Genomic DNA, 17,366 nt, shown 5'->3' with positions numbered 1-17,366 from the left:
AGAAACAGATCTGCAATAGAACTGGGGGCCAAGAGTGCGGAAGACCAAAAGAGAAAATTGCATATTGAGAGAAAAAGCTCGAAGGGGCAGAGAGGGAGAGAGGGGTGGCTAGAGAGAGGCGGCATCCAATGGAGAGAGGACAACGTCGAGGGCTGAGGGTCTTCAACCCCTGGCAGTGCCATCACTCAACCGGGGGGTGGGGTCTGGGAGGTCCCAGGCCAGGGAGGATGCTCCCAGGGGAGCTCTACCTGGGGGCATGGCAGGGCACAGACCCCCTTCCTGTTCACCAGCGGCAGCCCAGGGCCTGGCTAGGACCTGGGACGCATGGCACCTTGACCAAACTGTGGTACCTGCCTGCAAGAAGCTTCTAGACTGGGCCAGGGAGAAGAGAGACGTGGGAAACCAGGGGCCAGGCTGGTAACCCTGGTTCTCTCTTGATTTCATGGTTGGAATGAGGAGATTGGAGACCACATATGCCCTTTCCAGACAAAGGAGATGGCTTGTCTTTCGGCAGGTTTGTGTGTTTTACCTTTTGCCCAGCCTCAGCGTCCGACTCTTGGCAGCCTGGTCTCATCTCTGTCCCACCCTCTTTCCCTCCCCCACTGCCAACTCATTCGTGGAGAAATATGTCGGTAGAGAGCGGGACAGGCAGCGAAGCCTGACTAGCAGTCTGGGTGGAGAGAGAAGCATTTGGAAACATTCCGCTCAGTGACAGCAGCCAGTCGCAAAAGGCCGCAGAGCCTCTGGTTCCATTCATTTGAAATGTCCACACTAGGCTCATCTGTGGGGACAGAAAGCGGATTTGTGGGCAGTGGGTGCTAGAGGGGTGGTACCTAAAGGTATGGGTTTTCTTTTTGAGGTGATGAAAATGTTCTACAATCGACTGAGTGATGGTTGCACAGTTCTGTGAATAGACCATATAAAAGCCCTTGCCTTGTACGTGCTCAATGCGCAAATCGTGTGGTAAGCACAGCCACTCTCAGTAAAGCCGTTTCAGAAAAAAGGAGAAACCCACTCAAGGCATGCCTGCTGCCCGAGGTGCTGGTACCCAGTACCTTCCTGCACTGCTTGGGGACTGAGAACCCAGGAGCTGTCACTCAGGGCCTCAGCCTCCAGGAGTCCCAGTGGGGGTGAAACAGCTCTGAATACCGTGGGGGCGCAGGGCCATGCACAGTGCCAGAGGCTCGGGAGGGCTACCTGGAGGAGGTGACCTGGAGCAGACCAGTAGGGAAGAGGGAAGTTGCCGGTGGAAGGAAGAGCACACGTGCGGGGGGGTGTGGGGAGACACAGGGGAGCCAGGCGGCGCTGCAGTCCGGCCCTGCACCGACCTCACCCTCAGGTCTCAGCCAGGCATGTTCCTGGATGGGGGCTTGGAAGTGGCGATGAGGCGACACCCTGCTTGGGGGAGACACATTATGCATGCACCTTGCAGCTCTTACCTGAAGTTGGGGGCTGCTTCTGGGGGCAATACTCATATAAATACGGTCCTTGTACCTGGAAGGTTTTTGTATCTGTGGTTTGCAGTCTGCAATAAGCCATAACTGCACGCCCGGCCCGGGGCCCACCGAGTCACTCGGCCTGGCTAGGGCCCACTGAGTCACTCGGCCTGGCCCTCTAATTTGGGGGCCACTCCCAGACCAGACAGGCAGTACCTCAGTCCTAGGGCCTCCCCCTTCTGCTCCCCCTCCCACTCCCCCCTCCTCAGGCCTGGGCTCTCTCTGCAGCGCAGAAGGTACTTTGATCCCAGCTGAAGTGCTCTAGGAACAGTGCTTCCTTGCTAGCGAGCAGAGCTGGCGGGCGGGCAGCCTTCTGCCCTTCTGGCCTCTCAGGGCTGGGAGGAGGCAGGGGGAAGCAGGGGGAAGGCAGGCACGGGGGGCGCAAGGCAGGAAGGAAGAGCAGGCATTTCCTGAGGCCCTCAGGGATCCTGGGGAGGAGGCGGACACACAGCTGTCTTAGCTCCCCAGGAACCCGCGGCAGACAGGGAGCAGGAGGTGGGGGAAGCAGAACCCGGCCCCTTCCAGCACGGCCTGTATGTGACCCTGGGATGCCACTGCACAGGCCCCCTAGGCCCTAGCTGGGATGCTTCCCCCAAAAGGCTGTAGAGGGCCAGAAGGTCCTGCTGGCACCAGCCTTGCCTTGCATCCCAGCCCGGGAGACCCCTTCTCCTGCCGGATGGAGCCGAGAGCTCAGCTCTCTCCACCTGACAAGGAGCCCAACCCCCTCAGCTGCGTGGGGAGGGCAGCCCTGGGCAGCCTGCTCAGGCTTCCCTGCAGGGAAAGCTGTCCTGCCCTGGCAGTTGCCCCTGCACAGGGCCCCAGGCCACACTGTGGTCTCCCTGCTCTGAGCCTAACTCTGGTCTAGGCCTCATCAGGCAGCTGCCACCCCAGCCTGCCTGGGACAGCGCCCAGGACGGCTGCTGGAAGGTAGCAGGTGGGGCGGCAGCCATGGGACGGAAGGATGGGACAAGGACATGTCTGAGGGAGGGAGAGGGCCACGGAAGAAGGGGGCTGGGAGGAGGGGAGGCAGGGCGCAGGGATCTAAGCCAGCTGCCATCTCCTTGGCCAGTGTGGGGAAGAGGACCTGGAGTCAGCTGCAGCCTGTCCCCCACAGCTGGCTTGCAGCTGTTTGTGCCCTGTCTTCAAAGCTACAGCAGGGAGGCCCAGGAGAGAAGCAGGGTGGGGGCGCCCAGAGGGCAGGCTGTGAGCTCTCTGGTCCCATTTGGGCATGAAATACTGGCGGGTGGTGTGAGTCCTAGAGGGCAGAGCCTAGGAGCCTGGGAGGTGGCCTCTTATGCAGGGGTCCCCTACAGAGGTGGGCTGCTTGTTCCATGATTCTCCAGGGTCTGGAAACAAGAACTGGGCCCCGGGCTCCCTCTGCCCTGCTCCCCAAGTGTGTCCAGTGGGCCCTCTTCTCTGTGGGTGGCTGCTTCTCGAACCCTTCTGCCTGGACACGAACCTCCCCACCCTTCCATTCTGATGGTGTGAACAGAAGGGCCCATGCCTGTCTTGGGGATGGGACGGAGAGACAGAGGGAGAGCCGACAGAGCTGGGACAGAGAGCTGCAGTGGGCGAGGCAGACAGGCAGCACTCCCACCCCCTGGACCATCAGCAAGACCCTCAAGAAGCAAGGAGGTGACAAGTGCTATGTGCCCGTACAAGACTGGGGGGCAGGGAGAGCTTCTAGAGGAGGAGGCAGTGCCCTGAGGCCGCCTGTCATTGGGGAGTAGCTCTTGCAGAGCCTCAGCTTCCAGGGCAAATTCCCATCCAGGGACCTGTCACTCACACATCGAGGTTACCTCTTGAGCAAGAGCGGCCCCAAGTTTATGGCCTTGAGTGGGCCTCACTCCGAGCCTGTGGGCTTCGTCCATTCCCAGTGTCGGCACCCTCGGGGGCAGACACCAGTGGGCAACCCCATCACCACTCAAGGGTCTCTGGATGACCTGCGGCCTCGAAGCGGCATGAAGCTCATGCTCAGCGGGGACCTCTGGGTTCAGGGGGTGGGGCGGTTATGGAGGAGGCTTGTGCCAACATGCCCTGGGGCAGCTGAGCTGGTGCTGAGTGAGCGGAGCCTCCACTCTCTGGAAGCTTCCCAGTGCTGGATGGCCGAGGTGTGGCTGGTGAAAGCTGGCACTCTCCATGCCAGGAGCTTTTTTTGACCTTCCTCTGAGGACATAATCACACAGCATCTCTCCCCTCCGGGCCACCAGGGCTGTAATTTCAGGGCCTGCGTGGGGGCTCCGGGGAGGCCTGGCCTGCGTCTAGCTATCTTTAGAGAGGCATGGTCTGGGGCGTGGCCAGAGGATGGAAGATGGGTTGCCTTGGAAGCCGAAGTCCGGGAGCCAGAGGCCAGGGGCACCCTAGGACCCCTGTGGTCTTCCCTCAGGGAGGCCAGAGGCCAGAGCCCAGGAGCAGCACCAGGAGGCTCTGGTGGGAGTGGGAAGGGGCTGGGCCCTGTCCCGAGCCCTGACTTCAGCTCGGAGCAATCTTTGGCCCAGATGCTCAGAAGATGGGGTGGGATAGCACCTGGCCTGAGGGCCAGACAGCTTAGCATCTCCCAGACTGTCCCCGTGTGGCCATGGTGGCAGCTATTATGGGGGTAGGGGGTGGAGGGTGGCACAGTAGGCGAGATGCTTGTGAACGGGGGTGTTAGGCTGGAGGGAGGGCTCAGAACAGAATGTGGCGAAGGCGAGGGGTGGGCCCGTGGGGGGCCAGTGAGGGGCAGTTGGAGAAGAATTTGGAAGCTGATGGGCAGTTTTCTGGGACTGCAGCTGGCAGAGGCGGAGCAGAGGTGCAAGGTCCCACCCAGGTCTCAGGCCGGAGACACAGGCCCAGCCCCAGGGAGGGCACGGCTCCTTGCCCCCATTCTCCACCCTTCTGAATTGTGAGCTGTCCCCACTGTCCTTACTCTCAGTCCCACCCCATCACCTCAGCATCCCCATCCCCATCTGAGGACTGATGAGTGCCTCCCTTCTGACCCTAGTCACACCTATCCTGTTGCCATCACTATTGCAATTGTCACTGCAATGTCCCCTCAGATGCCCAGCATTTTGGGGTCACCGATTGGCTGCACCCACTGCTGTACCCTCAGATGGAGCCAGCAGCCACCCCGAAGAGGAGGAGCACAGTAATCACAGAGAAGGTGGGAGTGAGTGGGTGTCGGAGCGTGGCCCGTGCTGAAGGAGGGGCAGGTGCAGGGCCACGGCTGGGCTGCCCTTGCTCTCGGGCTGGGGCTCTGTCTAGAGATTCCCTCGTGGTGCCAGCTAGACTCTGACCAGCCCTCCCACAGCCCCAAGAAGTGAAGTCCCCAGCCCTGAGCTCCTGGCCCTCTGGGGAATCCCCTGGGCTGGAAACAGCACCCTTGTCCCAGTCATGAGGGGGAAATAAAGGCCCAGTCCCTTTGCCCCATCTCGGAGTGCAGGTTGGCTGAGGCCTGGCCGGGCCTGTGGGGTCGGCTGCAGCCCAGCTTCTCCCTTGGCCAGGTGACGACCCCAAGAGCCCGCAGGTACATTTCCCAAGTGCGAGTCCCCTGCCTCCCCAGTTGGGAAGGTCACAGGAGGATTAGCCCCCGCCGAGGCTCTGAGAAGTGGAATTAACCACCTGTGGGTGGCCTGCCTGGCCCCTGCCCTCCTGCAGCTGAGGGGCCCCTCCCCTTCTCCTCCCCACCTGCCTCATCTGTCGGGCAGTGGTAAGAAGTGGGCAGGAGATGTCGGGGACTCACCCAGCCTGCACTTCCTGTGCCTCCCGGGCCTGACCTCTGGGACTGCGAGAAGGTGGGGGCTGCAGGGTGACCTGAGCAAGAGGCGCAGGGACCGGGGCGGCCAGGCAGGGAGGAGGGGTCGTGAGAGCTGGGAGAGTGGGGCCAGCGCCTCGTGGGCTGCTGACCTCTGACCCAGCCCAAACAGGAAGTGCCATATCTGAGGGGCCAGCTGGAGGAGAAGGAATGCCGGGACGAGTCCAAAGCAAACAGCCCACAGCTTCCCAGGCCTCTCCCGCCCCCGCCACAGTCTGGCGCTTTCTCCACTGAGAACTCAGGGGTGGGGGCAGGGGTAGGGGGAATCGGCCATGGAATGGGAGCAAGGCGAGACTCAGTTCCCAGGCCCCGGTCCTAGGCAGAGCTGATGGCGGGGCGAGGTCCTTGCAGCGGACACCCTGTGCCCTTCCTCCTCTGCTCCACCCACATCCAGCAGCCCGGAGGCAGAGGGGAAGGAGAGGGGCGGCCCCGCCAGGGTAGAGAAAGGCCGGGGAATGGGAAGGCCGTGCCCAGATCGAGATGGGGGTGCTGAGGTGATGGGGTGGGATAGCGAGGGCCAGAGGGGCATGCTGGAGGCTCACAAGTTAGAGGGACAGAGGACAGGGACGGAGCCATGCGCTCCTTGGGGCTGGGCTGTGTCTCTGCTGGGCCCTCTCCTGCGGCATCCTTCATGCCTGTCACCTGGCTGTCTCTGTGAGCCCCATCCCAGGGCAGTGGCTGTCGTGTTCCCTGCGGTTGTGACCCTTTGTCCCTATCCCTTCCTGGCACAGGGCCTGGTGGCCTAGAGAGCTGTGGAGGCTGTCCCAGGAAACCCATCCGGTTCCCAGGGGCCCCCTCACTCAGGCAGGCCAACGGGGCAATGGCCTCAGTGGCCTTCGAGGGCTCCGCAGACCCAGTGTCTCCACCAGCATATCTGGCCAGTCTGTCTTCAGGGCTCGGCAGGGCTGAGTTGTCACTTCCCAGGGACTCCTGGCACATGGGGAGGTCAACATGGAGGGCCGGCCTCGCTCAGGCAGACAGTCAGAAACTCTGGCCAGGGGTGGTCCTTGCCCAGTGCTCAGGGCGGGGCTTGGCTTTGCACAGACCACGTGCTCACTCCCCACCCTTCCCTGGCACCAGGTCAGATAGGGGCACAGCCTGGTCTCACAGCAAGCCAGCCATACATCTCTGGGCAAGTTACTCATCTGTGAGCTGAGGGTGGGGCCCTGGGGACCTCTCTTGCAGGTGGGTGTGCATGTTGGGGGCTGGGATGAGGGTTCTGGGGCCAGGAATGGGGGGGAGGTGTCAAGGGAGAGGCAAAGGGGCTTCCCGAGAGGTGCCACTGTGCGGTGGTCACCAGCCCCTGCCCCAGGCCTCAGTGCAGGTGTGGGTGGCTCTAGGACCAATGGCAGGTGCCCTGAACCTCCACACCCTCCTGCTCTGCCAGCCAAGCCCACCTCTTTGGGTCCAGGCCCAGGATAGGGATGAGACGGATCAGGTGCAGATGCTGCCCCAAGCAAGGGTGGGGAGCCTGGCCTCTTGATGGCTTGGGACCGAGCAAGGACTTCAGGACCCTGGTGAGGCAGGGTGGGGGTGGGGAGGCTCTCAGAGAAGCTGTGGGACCCAAGCCCTCTGAATCTCTTTGCTGACAGTCTCAGGTGCAGCCCAGGAACCGCACGGACATGGGAGAGCCAGGACATGCAGCGTAGCTCCTGGAGGGAGGGAGGCTGGCTGGTGAGCCTGCCCAAGCTGCATTTATTATGTTCAAGTACAAACCAGTGCCACCTTTCGCCCCTGGGCCATTTGCTAAGTGAAGCGGCCTCACCAGTCAATGGGAAGTGGGTGCACTGGAAGCAGTGGGGTCTTCTAGACCTTTCTCCCAGTGGTGCAAAGGCCAAGCACACCTCAGCCTGCCCCTCCACCCCCTCGAGAAGCAGAGTGTGTGCTGGAGGAAGGCGGCAGGCAGGACTAGGAGCCCTCCTCCCCCCGCCGCTGGGGCTGGAGGACCACGCTGTGATAGGCTCGGGTGCAGGAGAAGGCAGTGGGCGGGATGCGGCGCCGGTCAATGAGGTTGTTCTCCAGGTGTGTGGAGGTAAGGTTGGAGTCCTGAGCCACGCGCATGTCACAGATGGAATTCAAGGGCACTTGTCTGCAAGGGAGGGGTGGGGCAGAGCAGGGGAGAGAAGACCCCGGAAAGACGGGGTAGGCATCATTCAAGAAGAGACAGAGACCCCTGCCCTGAGAGAAGCAGTAAGACCGAGCCACAGAATCGGAACTGTGGAGGAGTGATGGCGGGCTTCAGAGACCACTGCGGCCTCCTGGCCCCCTCCCAACTCGAGGCTCAGTGCCAGGCCTCCAGCCCCAGCCCTTGTCGCTCCAGGCTGGAGCCCTGCCAGCATCCGGCCACTGCCTGCCCTTGGCTTTCCAGGCCTGCCAGCCACTGGGCACAGCCTCCATCATGGCAACCAAGATGGGTGGATGGCTGGATTGGGGGAGGATGGATGAGCCCCGACTCCTGCCCTCGGCCTCTGCGGCCTGTGGGTAAGGAGCCCAAAGGCCAGCCTGTCCTAGCCCAGCCAGAAGGCAGGGCCTCCTGGCCTCAGGGTACCTCTTCCTCTGTGTGCTGGCAGGGTGCGGGGGTGGAGACGGCCACAGGTGTGGGGTCGAGGAGGGGGGCCCTACCTGATCCTGTTGTGGCTCAGGCCCAGCACCTGCAGTCCCTTGAGGCCCAGGAGGCCGCGTGGGATGGCCTGCACCTGGTTATGATCCAGGAGCAGCTCCGCCAGCGAGGCGCGCAGGCCCAGGAAGGACACGCTGTGGATGCCGTCAGCCTGCAGCCTGTTGTGGGACAGGTGCAGGAACTCTAGGCCTGGCTTCATGTGCGCGAACGCGTAGCCAGGGATGCGCTCGATGTGGTCGTGGTGCAGCGTCAGGCGCCTCAGGCCCCGCGGCAGGAAGCGGGGCACGTGCACCAGCCGGTTGTAGGACAGGTCAAGGGTCTCCAGCTTCCTGTGGGGCGGGGCACACAGGGGCAGAGGGAGCTGACGGTTGGCAACTCCTAGAGGGGAGTTCCAGGGGCTGCAGCCCCACACTCCCAAGACGAGCGTGGGGATTCACTCCGAGATGGCAGCCGCAACCCGAACTCTCAACAGCTGGGACTCTGGCAACTCCTGTGTGAGTCAGGCCAGGCCCTGTGTGGGTTTATGTCCTCCTCTGTCCCCCAAGGCTTAGGGATTAGAGGATCTGGGTGGGGGCCTTCCTTGCTCCCTGCAGGGCTAGCGATACCTGCTGTCATTGTGGAGACTGAGGAACTGTCCTCCCACTCACTTCCTTCCCTCCAGGTGTTGCCTCAGGGTCTCCTGTCTCCTAATCCTGACACCTGACAGAGCTCAGAGGGTGACGCCTAAAATCTAGGGGAAAAGTGGGGCAGGGGAGCTCTCTGCCCCTGCCGGTCCTCGGCCTCGAAGCCCTCTCCTCTGTCCCTTCCACTCTCCTGCCCTCATCCTGCCTCTCCCAGTCTTATCCTCAGATGTGTGGAAGCTAGATGTGTGGGGAGAAAAAGATCAGGCTCCATGAGGGTTAGGGCTGGGGGACCCTGGGAGGTCACCCAGCCCTCGCTGTCCGATAGTGGAGTTCAGGCTGCCACCTTCAGCTGGGAGCCCCCGGTCGCTCCATGGTGGACACCTGACTCCTTGAGGCCCTGACCCCAGCAGCAGGAAGCCCTGGTCCCTGTGGCCATGCAGGTGTGCAAGGGCAGAGGGTGGTGAGGCTTCTGGAATGGGTAAGAACATGGAGAGAGGGAGCAGGGAAGGCTTCTCTTGGCAACACCCTCAGCCCCCGTGGCTAGGGTCAGCCTTTTGGGCTGCTCCTGTGCCTCTCGGTCCCCTCCTTTTCCACCAGCCCGAAAAGAGATGGGTGGCGCCAGAGTCCAGGAGAGGCCGCGGCTGAGGCAGCTGGGGCTTGACTGGCCGCCAGCCCCCTGCCCAGGCCTCGTGGCGGGAGTGGAATAGCGGCCGGGCAGCCCCTCCCAGGCTGCTGTCTGCTTTCCTTTGCCCCCTTGGCAAGTGGGGGAGAGGAAAGAGGAATAATTAAACCCAAACGTCCTGGTAACTTTTTCCTGGAACGCAAGGATGCAGGGCGGGAGGCTCTGGTCCCTGGAATGGCGGGTCAGACTGTCTGTCGACCCCCGCCTCCCTCCCCACTGCGGCCCCACCCTGCCTTGGTGGTCATCAGGCCCTCCTCAGCCTCCCGCCTGGCACCCAGCCTCCCCCAGCCCTCCCCGCTGTTCCCAGGACCGTGTCCTGACTCCCTAGCCCGACTCCTACAGCCCTACAGCATCTGGTTGCCGTGAGTGGCCTGTGTGCCAGCATCTCTACCTAGCTGTCCCAACCAGATCCAGGGAATTGCCCTTGACTTTTCTTGGAATGAGGTGAAGAGTGGCCCCCAGAACCTATGTCCACCAGAACCTGTGAACGTGGCCTTATTTGCAGATGTAAGGATTGCAGGGGAGGATGTCGAGCTGAGCTCATCTGGGTTCCCCGGCTGGGCCCCGCTCCCATGACAGGTGTGCTTTTGAGGGACAGAAGAGAGAAGACGAGACAGAGGGAGACACGCAGGGGAGACGGCCACGTGCAGCCACAAGCCCAGGAACACCTGGAGCCCCCTGAAGCTGGGAGAGGCAGGAAGGATCCCATCCTAGGCCTCCGGAGGGAGCACGGCCCCCTAACATCTAGATTGCAGACTTCTGGCGTCTGCAACTGAGAGAGGTTATTTCTGTTGTTTGAAGCCACCCAGCTTGTGGCACTCAGTGATGGCAGCCCCAGGACATGCATGCACTTCTCTTCCCCACTTTCCTGTGCCCCCAGCCCTTCCGCGCTGCTTCCTGCCCCTGTCACCTCCTAACTGCACCCATCGTCGGGCCAGCTCTCCCCACCACTGCTGCCCTCCATCCAGGCCCGTGGCACCTCCCAGGTGAGCTTCCTGGGGGCCGGCAGGGCAGGCCTAGGCACGGGAGGGCAAAGGGGATTCTGCTGGGTGGGAGGGACAGAGGGAAGGCCTTGCAAGCTTGCAAGCAATATCTTGGAAGAGTCTGTGGTGACTGAGGGCCCAGGCTAACCTAAGCAGGGAGGGAGGTGACCCCAGTGACCCACCGAAGACCAGGCCCAAGGAACAAGTCCTCCCCTGGAGCCCCCTGCCTCCTGGCCCTCTCTGGGGCTCCGTGGCTCAGCATTGCCCTCTCCGCCTTCCCCACCTGCCTCTCGGGGCTGCTCTGGGCCATCCTTGCTCTCTGCCTCCGAATGCCCATTGGGGCGAAGCTCTGGGACTGCCACTCACGGGAGATGAATCCAGGCTCGGGGTGCCAGCCAGTGCTCCTGAAGCCAGTTGTGGCTGAGCACCAGCACGCTGAGGCTGTGGATGTGGCTCAGTGCGCCCTCCGCCACCTCCTCGATGAGGTTGGTGCCCAGGTGCAGCTCCTAGGGTCGGGGTCAGGGGTTGGGGTGAGGGGCCCACCTGCCAGTTGTTGGCCACCTGGTCAGGCTCCAACTCTGGCTGTGCCCATTCTCTGCCGGCACTGCCTCCTTCCACCCAGCCATGTCTGTGCAACTCAGGTGCCAGTCTCTGCCCTGAGCAGTCAGGCCCATGGCAGGGGTGGATTTTCAGGGGACTGTATGGTCCAGAGAGAGGGTATGGGCCTTACTCAGAGAACCCAGAGGGTGCAGAGCCATCCAGGAGGTCCCACTGTGGGCTTCTGGAAGGTTAGGTCAAGCTGAGGAGAGGCCTGAAGCCTCGTGAGTTTCAGCGCACAGATCCCCCTATGGGCTGCTCCACGCCCCCTCAGCAGAAGCAGAGGCAGGGTTGTTTGATGGTAACAATGTTGCCTCCCCATCCTGGGGGCTCCAGCTCAACTGCAGGGAGGACGGCAGGCCGCGTGGGATGGCCCGCAGCCGGTTCCGGTCCAGCCTCAGATAGAGCAGGCTGCAGAGGGGCTGGAAGGCCAGGGGGAGATGTCCCTGTCACGCAGCTGGTTCCCTTCCACCTCCAGCGTCAACAGCTGGCTGAGCCCTGCAGGCGGGCAGAGGGGTGCGGTGAGCCATTGCAGAGCTGCTCGCAGTAGCTCTAGAACCCCTGCCTGCCCCTAGAGGCCAGGGCCCCTTACCCAGGCTGGCAGTCTCCTCTGCGTTCCAGCCAGGCTGCCCTGGGCACTCTCCCGAGTGTGCCTCCTAGAGGGCAGACCCACCCCTTGCCAGCCCCTGTCCTGGGGGTGGGGCACCTGCCCAGGCCTGCCCCCTCGGTCCCTGCCCCCGGAACTCGCCCGCACCACGGAAGCTGCTGCCTTGCAAGCCCTGCAGGAGGTTGTCGTTGAGTTTGAGCTCCTGCAGGGAGGCAGGTAGGGCCGGGACTGTGGTCAGCGAGTTCCCAACCAGGTTCAGCCGCTTCAGCCGCATCAGATTCTGGGAGGTCATGGGGAATAGGTGGGCTGGGGTTGGGGGCCTGCTGGTCGGGGCACAGGCCTTCCTGGGCATGGCTTTGGGCCCATCCTGACCAAGGGCACTCTGTTGGTGGCATCATGGCTTCCTAGTTCCCACTGAATCCAGGCCTGTCTGGGAAGGTTTCTGTTTGCTCCTATACAGGGCCTGCAAGCCTGTGCTGCTCCCCCTACTCCCAGCGATGGAACACGTCACACCAAATTGTGGAAGCCCACCATGCTGGCTGCTCTCTGCAGTGCCTCCTCCAGGCCTTACCCCCTAAGCAGCTCCACCCTGCAGTGAGTGGATGCCTCAGGTCACCTGGGACCTGCCAGCCCCAGCCCCAGCCCCGGCCCCCGAGAAGAGGTGAATGGGCCACAGCATACCTTGAAGGCATGGGGGTGCAGGCCTCGGGGATCCAGCTTGTTCTTGCTGAGATCCAGCCACTCCAGGTTGGGCAGCCCCAGGAACGTGTGGGCTGGGATCTTGGCAATTTCATTCTCTGTGCGCACATGGGGCAGCCATATTCTCTGCCCCCTGCCCGCTGCCACTCTGTACCTCCCACACCAGACAGGGCTGCTCAGGGGAGCCAGGGTGGGAGCCCAGGTCTCAGCCTTCTCACCCCTGCTGCAGGGGTGGGTGTGGGGCGAGGAGGCCACCCACCTGCCAGGTAGAGTGTGGTCAGACCAGGGTGGGTCAGGGCAGGGACATGCTTCATCTTGACATTGCCACAGGCGATGACTGCCTGGGCCAGGAGGCACGAGGCCGGCAGAGAGGGCATGGCCTGCTGGGTGGTGCCCAGGTCTGCGTGCCTGTGCCTGTGCCCATGTGTGCTTCCTGGTCTTTTCCACCCATGGCCTGGGGTCTTGGAGGTGCTGCCGCCGCCACCCTGGCCTCGGCTGCGGTCCTTCTGTGGGCGCCGGATCCTCAGCCCAGGTTGATGGGAGGTCCCTGGAGGAAGAGAGACAGCCCCTGCTGGGTCACAAGCAACAGGGGCCCTACTGAGGAACAGGGGCTTGCCCGAGGCTCCCAGGGCCTGCCAGTGACTCAGCCAGCCTGGGTTGGAGCGACAGGTTACTGGGACCCCTCCCCTTGGCACCAAGGGCAAAGGCCCAAATGGGGGCTCTGAGGCTGGGGAGGGGACGTGACTTTGGAGGGCTTCCCTCCCACCCCACACACGAGGGCACTTGGCTTGGAAACACCGGGAACGGGGCAGTGCCTGGGTGGCCAAACTCATGCGTGGTCCTGTCAGCCCCAGCAGGCCCCAGGCCCCACCTGAAGGCCGCCTGTCCTGGCCAGTTCTCACCTTTGGGGGGCCTCCTGGGTTTCAGGCCCCTTCCCTTGTCTTCCCGGCCTCCTGTCCTCTGGCCCTGGTCCTCCTCGGTGACTGCTGCCCCCTCTTGAGCTTGAGGGTCCCTGCCGGCCTGCCAGGGCCTCAGCTTCAAGGCCTCGGGCTTCCCTGCCCCAGCCCTCATGGCAGCTGTGGCCTGGGGCTGAGCCCACTCAGCGACCAGGCCCTTGTTGTGACCCTGCTCCTGCTCCAAGGTCACTGGGGGTGACTCCTTCCTCAGGGCCAGCCCTGGCCTGGGAAGCGCTTTCCAGCCAGTGGAGGGGGACTGGGTGGGGGTTCCTTGAGCTCCCTGCTTCGGGGTGGGCTGATCCCGCAACTGGTCCAGCTTCCCAGCCTCAGGCTTGTCTGGGTGGCCGATGCCAGGGATGGGCTGCAGCTGACCTGCGGAAGGAGCCAGTGTGGGCTGGGGGCCTTGCCTCCTTTCCCCAAGGGGCTGTCAGCTGCTAGAAAGCCCATCGCCCTTCCTCTTTACCCAGGCCTCCCCCCGCCCCGCCTTTCCCTTACCTCCTGAGGAGCACTGGCGAGAGAACAGAGTGTCCCCACCGTCAGCAGCAGGCCACCAGCCCCTGGGGCCAGTAACCCAGAGTACCTCTCAGAACTTACACAGCTCCTCACTGCTGGGGAGGGGGGTGGGTGGCGCTCTAGGCCCATTAGGGCTAAGGGGCTGGGCCTATAGGTTAGGCCCAGGGGTTGGACCGGTGGTTGGGCCCAGGGAGCTTCAGCAGCCCTGGGTAGAAAGCCTTGGGCTGCTCAAGGGACCTTGGGTCCCACCTCCCCTCACTTCCCCAGTGTGTCCCAAGGGTGGGGGGTAGGGCGTTTCCCCAGCATCCCCTTTGCCCCATACCCATTAGTGAGCAAGGACTTCACACGTGCTTCCTAGGGACAGCTTCTGGGGAGATGAAGGGGTCGCTGCGACCTGGCACAATTTGCTTTTAGAAGTGAAAGCCCCAGTGTCTGCTACAGGGGGTTTGTTGGGGATTAGGCAAGCCCAGGGGCCACCTCAAGGGGTCTGTGAGCCACTTTGGAGGAATGTTGATAACCCCAATGCCTCCTGTCCTCTATGGAGCAGCTCCTCCTTAACCAGGGCCAACCATGGGGGGCACCGCTCTGTCTGCAGGGGTGAGGGGCAGACCCACCCACCTGGCCCCTCCCGCCCTACCCCCAAGCCTGGGGCAGGGCCACCAAGTGTGGCTACAACCACTGGCCTATAAGACAAAGGCCACACTCATAGCCCATGTCCTCGGGCCCCTCAAGCCCCTCTCTGCCAGCAACCCCACTTCACCCCCAAGCCCTATACTCCCAGCCACCTGAGATTCTTCCTGTCTCAGGAGGCACTGGGGCAGCCAGAGCAACTCCTCCCCAGCACACCCCAGCCCGCTCTCAGCCTCACTGTAGCGCCCGCTCCTAGGAAGGCCTCTTCCCTCCCTCGCCCCTAGAGTCTGCGCACACCCCTCGCCCTCCAGGGAGGGCTCTCTCAGGGCCATGGGCCCTTTGCAGCCCTGCCTGAGTACCCAAAGTGGGCCTGAGGTGGACAGCCTGCGGCAGTCTTCTTCCTGCTGGTGCCAGCTACTCACCGTCGGGGGCCCCTGGTGGGCTGGGCAGCAGCTGCAGGGTAGCCAAGCCCATGGGGGTTGGTGGGGCCCCTCCTGAGCAGCTCCCCGCCCACAGTGCCAGGATGGGGAGCAGCACACTCCTCTTGGCTGCCATGGAGGGAAGGAGAGCTGGGAGAGGCACGGTGGTGGCCACGGCAGGACGATGGCGGACGGCACAAGTTGGTCTTGCTCCCTGAGCTCCTGGCCCTGGCTGCGGCACTTGGAGTCTTCCCTGCCCACCCCAGCCCTTCCCTGGGAAGGCCCCCCTTCTGTCGAGCAAACGCCTCCCCCGACCTTGCCCCCAACTCCCCACAACGTGCACTGCTCCCACCTGAAGAGAAAGACAGATTGCCCTTTCCTCAGACCGGACGGTCCTGCCCTTTTGCTGTGAGGCCCGCATTGATTCTCCGCTGGCTCTGGCCCAGTGGCCTCCATGAATGGGGCTTCTGTCTCACACGTGGCAGGCCTGAGAGGCCCACCACAGAGCGGGTCGGCCACCGCAGGCTGCTGGGCCCTGCATCCATGGCTGCGAAAGGAGAGGGGGTGGGTGCCAAGGCCGTGGGCTTCTGCCGTGGGCAGCACTGTGGAGGCCTCCGGGTTCCAGAGGAAATAGAATCTGTGGGCACAGTGCAGGCGGCGAGGGTATGCCTCCCGTGCCTGAGACCCCAGTGCTGCTTGGGCATGGGTGTGCCTCGGGCTGGGCTGGCTCCTGGTTCCTCTGCTTGCCCTCCAGGTCTCTACCTTCTCCTCTGTAAAATGGGGTAGGGGGCAGAGTTGACGTTCTGTGGCTGTCCCGACCCCCTACATAGGAGCATGGGTGTTCCAGGCACTGCCTGGGTGAAGCCATGTCACAGGTCCCCCCCAGACTTCTTGGCCAACAGTCTGGGATCTCTGATGTGCCTAGGCTGCACGCATCCTTTTGGTCAGAGGGGCACCTGTGGGTCAGGATGACATGAGGTGGAAAATAGGCTGGGCTCGATGAGGGGACTGCTGGGTGGGGCCAGAGGGGCGTGTGGTGGAGTGAGGGGCAAATAAGGGGGTGTCTGGCTCCAGTTCCTAGAGCCCGCCACCCTCAGAGGGCTGCCGGAAGTCCCTGCTCCAACTGGGGTGTCCCTGCAGCCCCAACCCCGCGTTCTGCTGTGGGAGCCAGGGTTTGTGGGAGCAGGCAGGCGGGGGCTGGCAGAGAGGACTGATCTCACCGCTGGCTCGGCTCTTCAGGGCCAGTATTGAGGAAGCTTTTCCTACAGCCCTGTCCAGCGTTGACTTAGGTTTGGAAGCGATCTTAAGAAATGAGTTAATTGTGGGCAAGGCTTGGGTGGAGGGGAGAAGGGAAGCAGTGGAGGAGGGGCAGGGGCCGGCAAGGGCCATCAGGCAGGAGTCTCCATCCTGGGGCAATGAGGCAATGTGTGAGATCCAGAGGGGTGCAGGGCTGGTCAAGGTGGGGAGGAGGCCTGGCAACTGGGTCTTCACTGGGCTCCTTGAGGAGCTGCCGCTCCAGCTAACAGTCCCGTAGGAGCCACATGGGGTCCTCTGCTATATCCAGGGTACCCTCGCCATCCAGGGCTCTGGTTTCTGACCTGAATTTGGACCCTGCCACGTACAGACCAGAAACAGGGACCATCTAGGGAGTCAGCAAATGCCTCTGGAGTCAGGGATGAGGCCACCATCTCCTTGTGCGTCCTGTGGGTGACACAGGATGGCTGTGGGCCAGTGTCCTGCCTGGGGGCAGCTGCCGAAGCTGGGACAGGGTAGCACTGGGGCACGGCAGACTTGAAGTATGCTGCCAAGACTAAGTGAAGCTTGCCCCAGGATCCTGCAAGACAGAGCACAGTCGACCCCCCATTTTACAGAGAAGGAACAGAGAAGGAGTGGGGCTCACCCAAGTCTCGATACCAGAGGCCAGTCCTCCTGCCTCCTGGTCCAGGCATCGCCTGAGAAACGGGGTAGGTCCCTGCCTGAGCTGAGCCTAGCACCTGGGGTCGGGAGACTGGACGGTGATGGGAACCCCGGCTCCGCCCCTCCCCCTGCCTGGGGATGGATTCTGGAATCCTGGCCCCCTACCCATTTCCCCTGTTTGCGCCGCTCCCCAGGCGCTGACTAAACATCCTGCCATCTGGTTCCCATTAGCTGGGCTGGGGGTGGGGGAAGCCTGCTCCCAGGTTTCTCTGGCACAGCCAGCCTGGAGGAGGGAGGGACTCCGCTCCTACCCACCTAGGCAGGAAGGGGTGAGGCCTGGGGTGCTCTCAGTTCCCAGCTCCCATGGAGGCCTGGCCTCGCTGCCCTTCCCCTGGTCGGGAGCCTGGTGGCTGACCTGGGTGGGCCCCTGGGGAGTGGTACTCCTGCTGCCCACTCTGTCCAGTCCCAGGGCACCCGGCCATTGTGGGGACCTTGAAGGAACCCCCATGGAGCAGAGCCAGCCTTCAGGGGCTCAGCAGAGCCAGAGGCTCCCGGCAAGTTTCTGCCTTGCCCTCCCCCCCGCCCAAGAGCTCACTGACGGACTTGTGCTGAGACAGGCAGGCCCCAAGCCAACAGTAATCCCGAGCCCGGTGTCTGGAGCAGAGGGTGGGAGGGCTGTTGGGATTTTCCAGGAACCAGGGATGCAGCCCGAGGGTTGCTGGAAAGAGCTTTGGGCTCCCAGTTCTGCCATGGACGGACTGGCCATGTGACATCAGGAACAAGCTTCCCTCCCTCCTCAGTGCCCCAGTCTTCTCATTTCAGTATGGTGGA

General features: G+C 63.0%; 1 protein-coding gene and 1 pseudogene across 4 annotated transcripts in view, besides 4 other annotated features; one reads left to right on the top strand and one right to left on the bottom strand.

Annotated features, from left to right (window-relative positions):
* HAUS7 (HAUS augmin like complex subunit 7) overlaps positions 1-17,366 on the top strand; it is a 47,798-nt gene that overhangs the window by 1,458 nt on the left and 28,974 nt on the right. The window lies entirely within an intron of this gene.
* Positions 2,086-2,658: an enhancer, noted in NCBI's record as "H3K4me1 hESC enhancer chrX:152756808-152757380 (GRCh37/hg19 assembly coordinates)". NCBI's record gives its function as "activates a minimal SCP1, AML or CMV promoter by ChIP-STARR-seq in naive H9 embryonic stem cells {active_cell/tissue: H9 hESC(naive)}" and the evidence as "EXISTENCE:reporter gene assay evidence [ECO:0000049][PMID:30033119]".
* Positions 4,775-5,589: an enhancer, noted in NCBI's record as "H3K4me1 hESC enhancer chrX:152753877-152754691 (GRCh37/hg19 assembly coordinates)". NCBI's record gives its function as "activates a minimal SCP1, AML or CMV promoter by ChIP-STARR-seq in primed H9 embryonic stem cells {active_cell/tissue: H9 hESC(primed)}" and the evidence as "EXISTENCE:reporter gene assay evidence [ECO:0000049][PMID:30033119]".
* Positions 6,947-14,742, bottom strand: ECMXP (extracellular matrix protein X-linked, pseudogene; annotated as a pseudogene). Its single transcript, NR_169597.1, has 9 exons — positions 14,622-14,742; positions 13,003-13,428; positions 12,360-12,647; positions 12,083-12,198; positions 11,549-11,681; positions 10,928-11,292; positions 10,485-10,703; positions 7,912-8,238; positions 6,947-7,378 (listed from the first exon to the last, which is right to left on the bottom strand). The product of NR_169597.1 is annotated as an extracellular matrix protein X-linked, pseudogene (transcript).
* Positions 16,297-16,797: an enhancer, noted in NCBI's record as "H3K4me1 hESC enhancer chrX:152742669-152743169 (GRCh37/hg19 assembly coordinates)". NCBI's record gives its function as "activates a minimal SCP1, AML or CMV promoter by ChIP-STARR-seq in naive H9 embryonic stem cells {active_cell/tissue: H9 hESC(naive)}" and the evidence as "EXISTENCE:reporter gene assay evidence [ECO:0000049][PMID:30033119]".
* Positions 16,798-17,298: an enhancer, noted in NCBI's record as "H3K4me1 hESC enhancer chrX:152742168-152742668 (GRCh37/hg19 assembly coordinates)". NCBI's record gives its function as "activates a minimal SCP1, AML or CMV promoter by ChIP-STARR-seq in naive and primed H9 embryonic stem cells {active_cell/tissue: H9 hESC(naive and primed)}" and the evidence as "EXISTENCE:reporter gene assay evidence [ECO:0000049][PMID:30033119]".

Source organism: Homo sapiens, chromosome X (assembly GCF_000001405.40).
Source record: "Homo sapiens chromosome X, GRCh38.p14 Primary Assembly".
NCBI classification, from domain to species: domain Eukaryota; kingdom Metazoa; phylum Chordata; class Mammalia; order Primates; family Hominidae; genus Homo; species Homo sapiens.
This window is presented reverse-complemented; position numbering and strand designations above follow the sequence as displayed.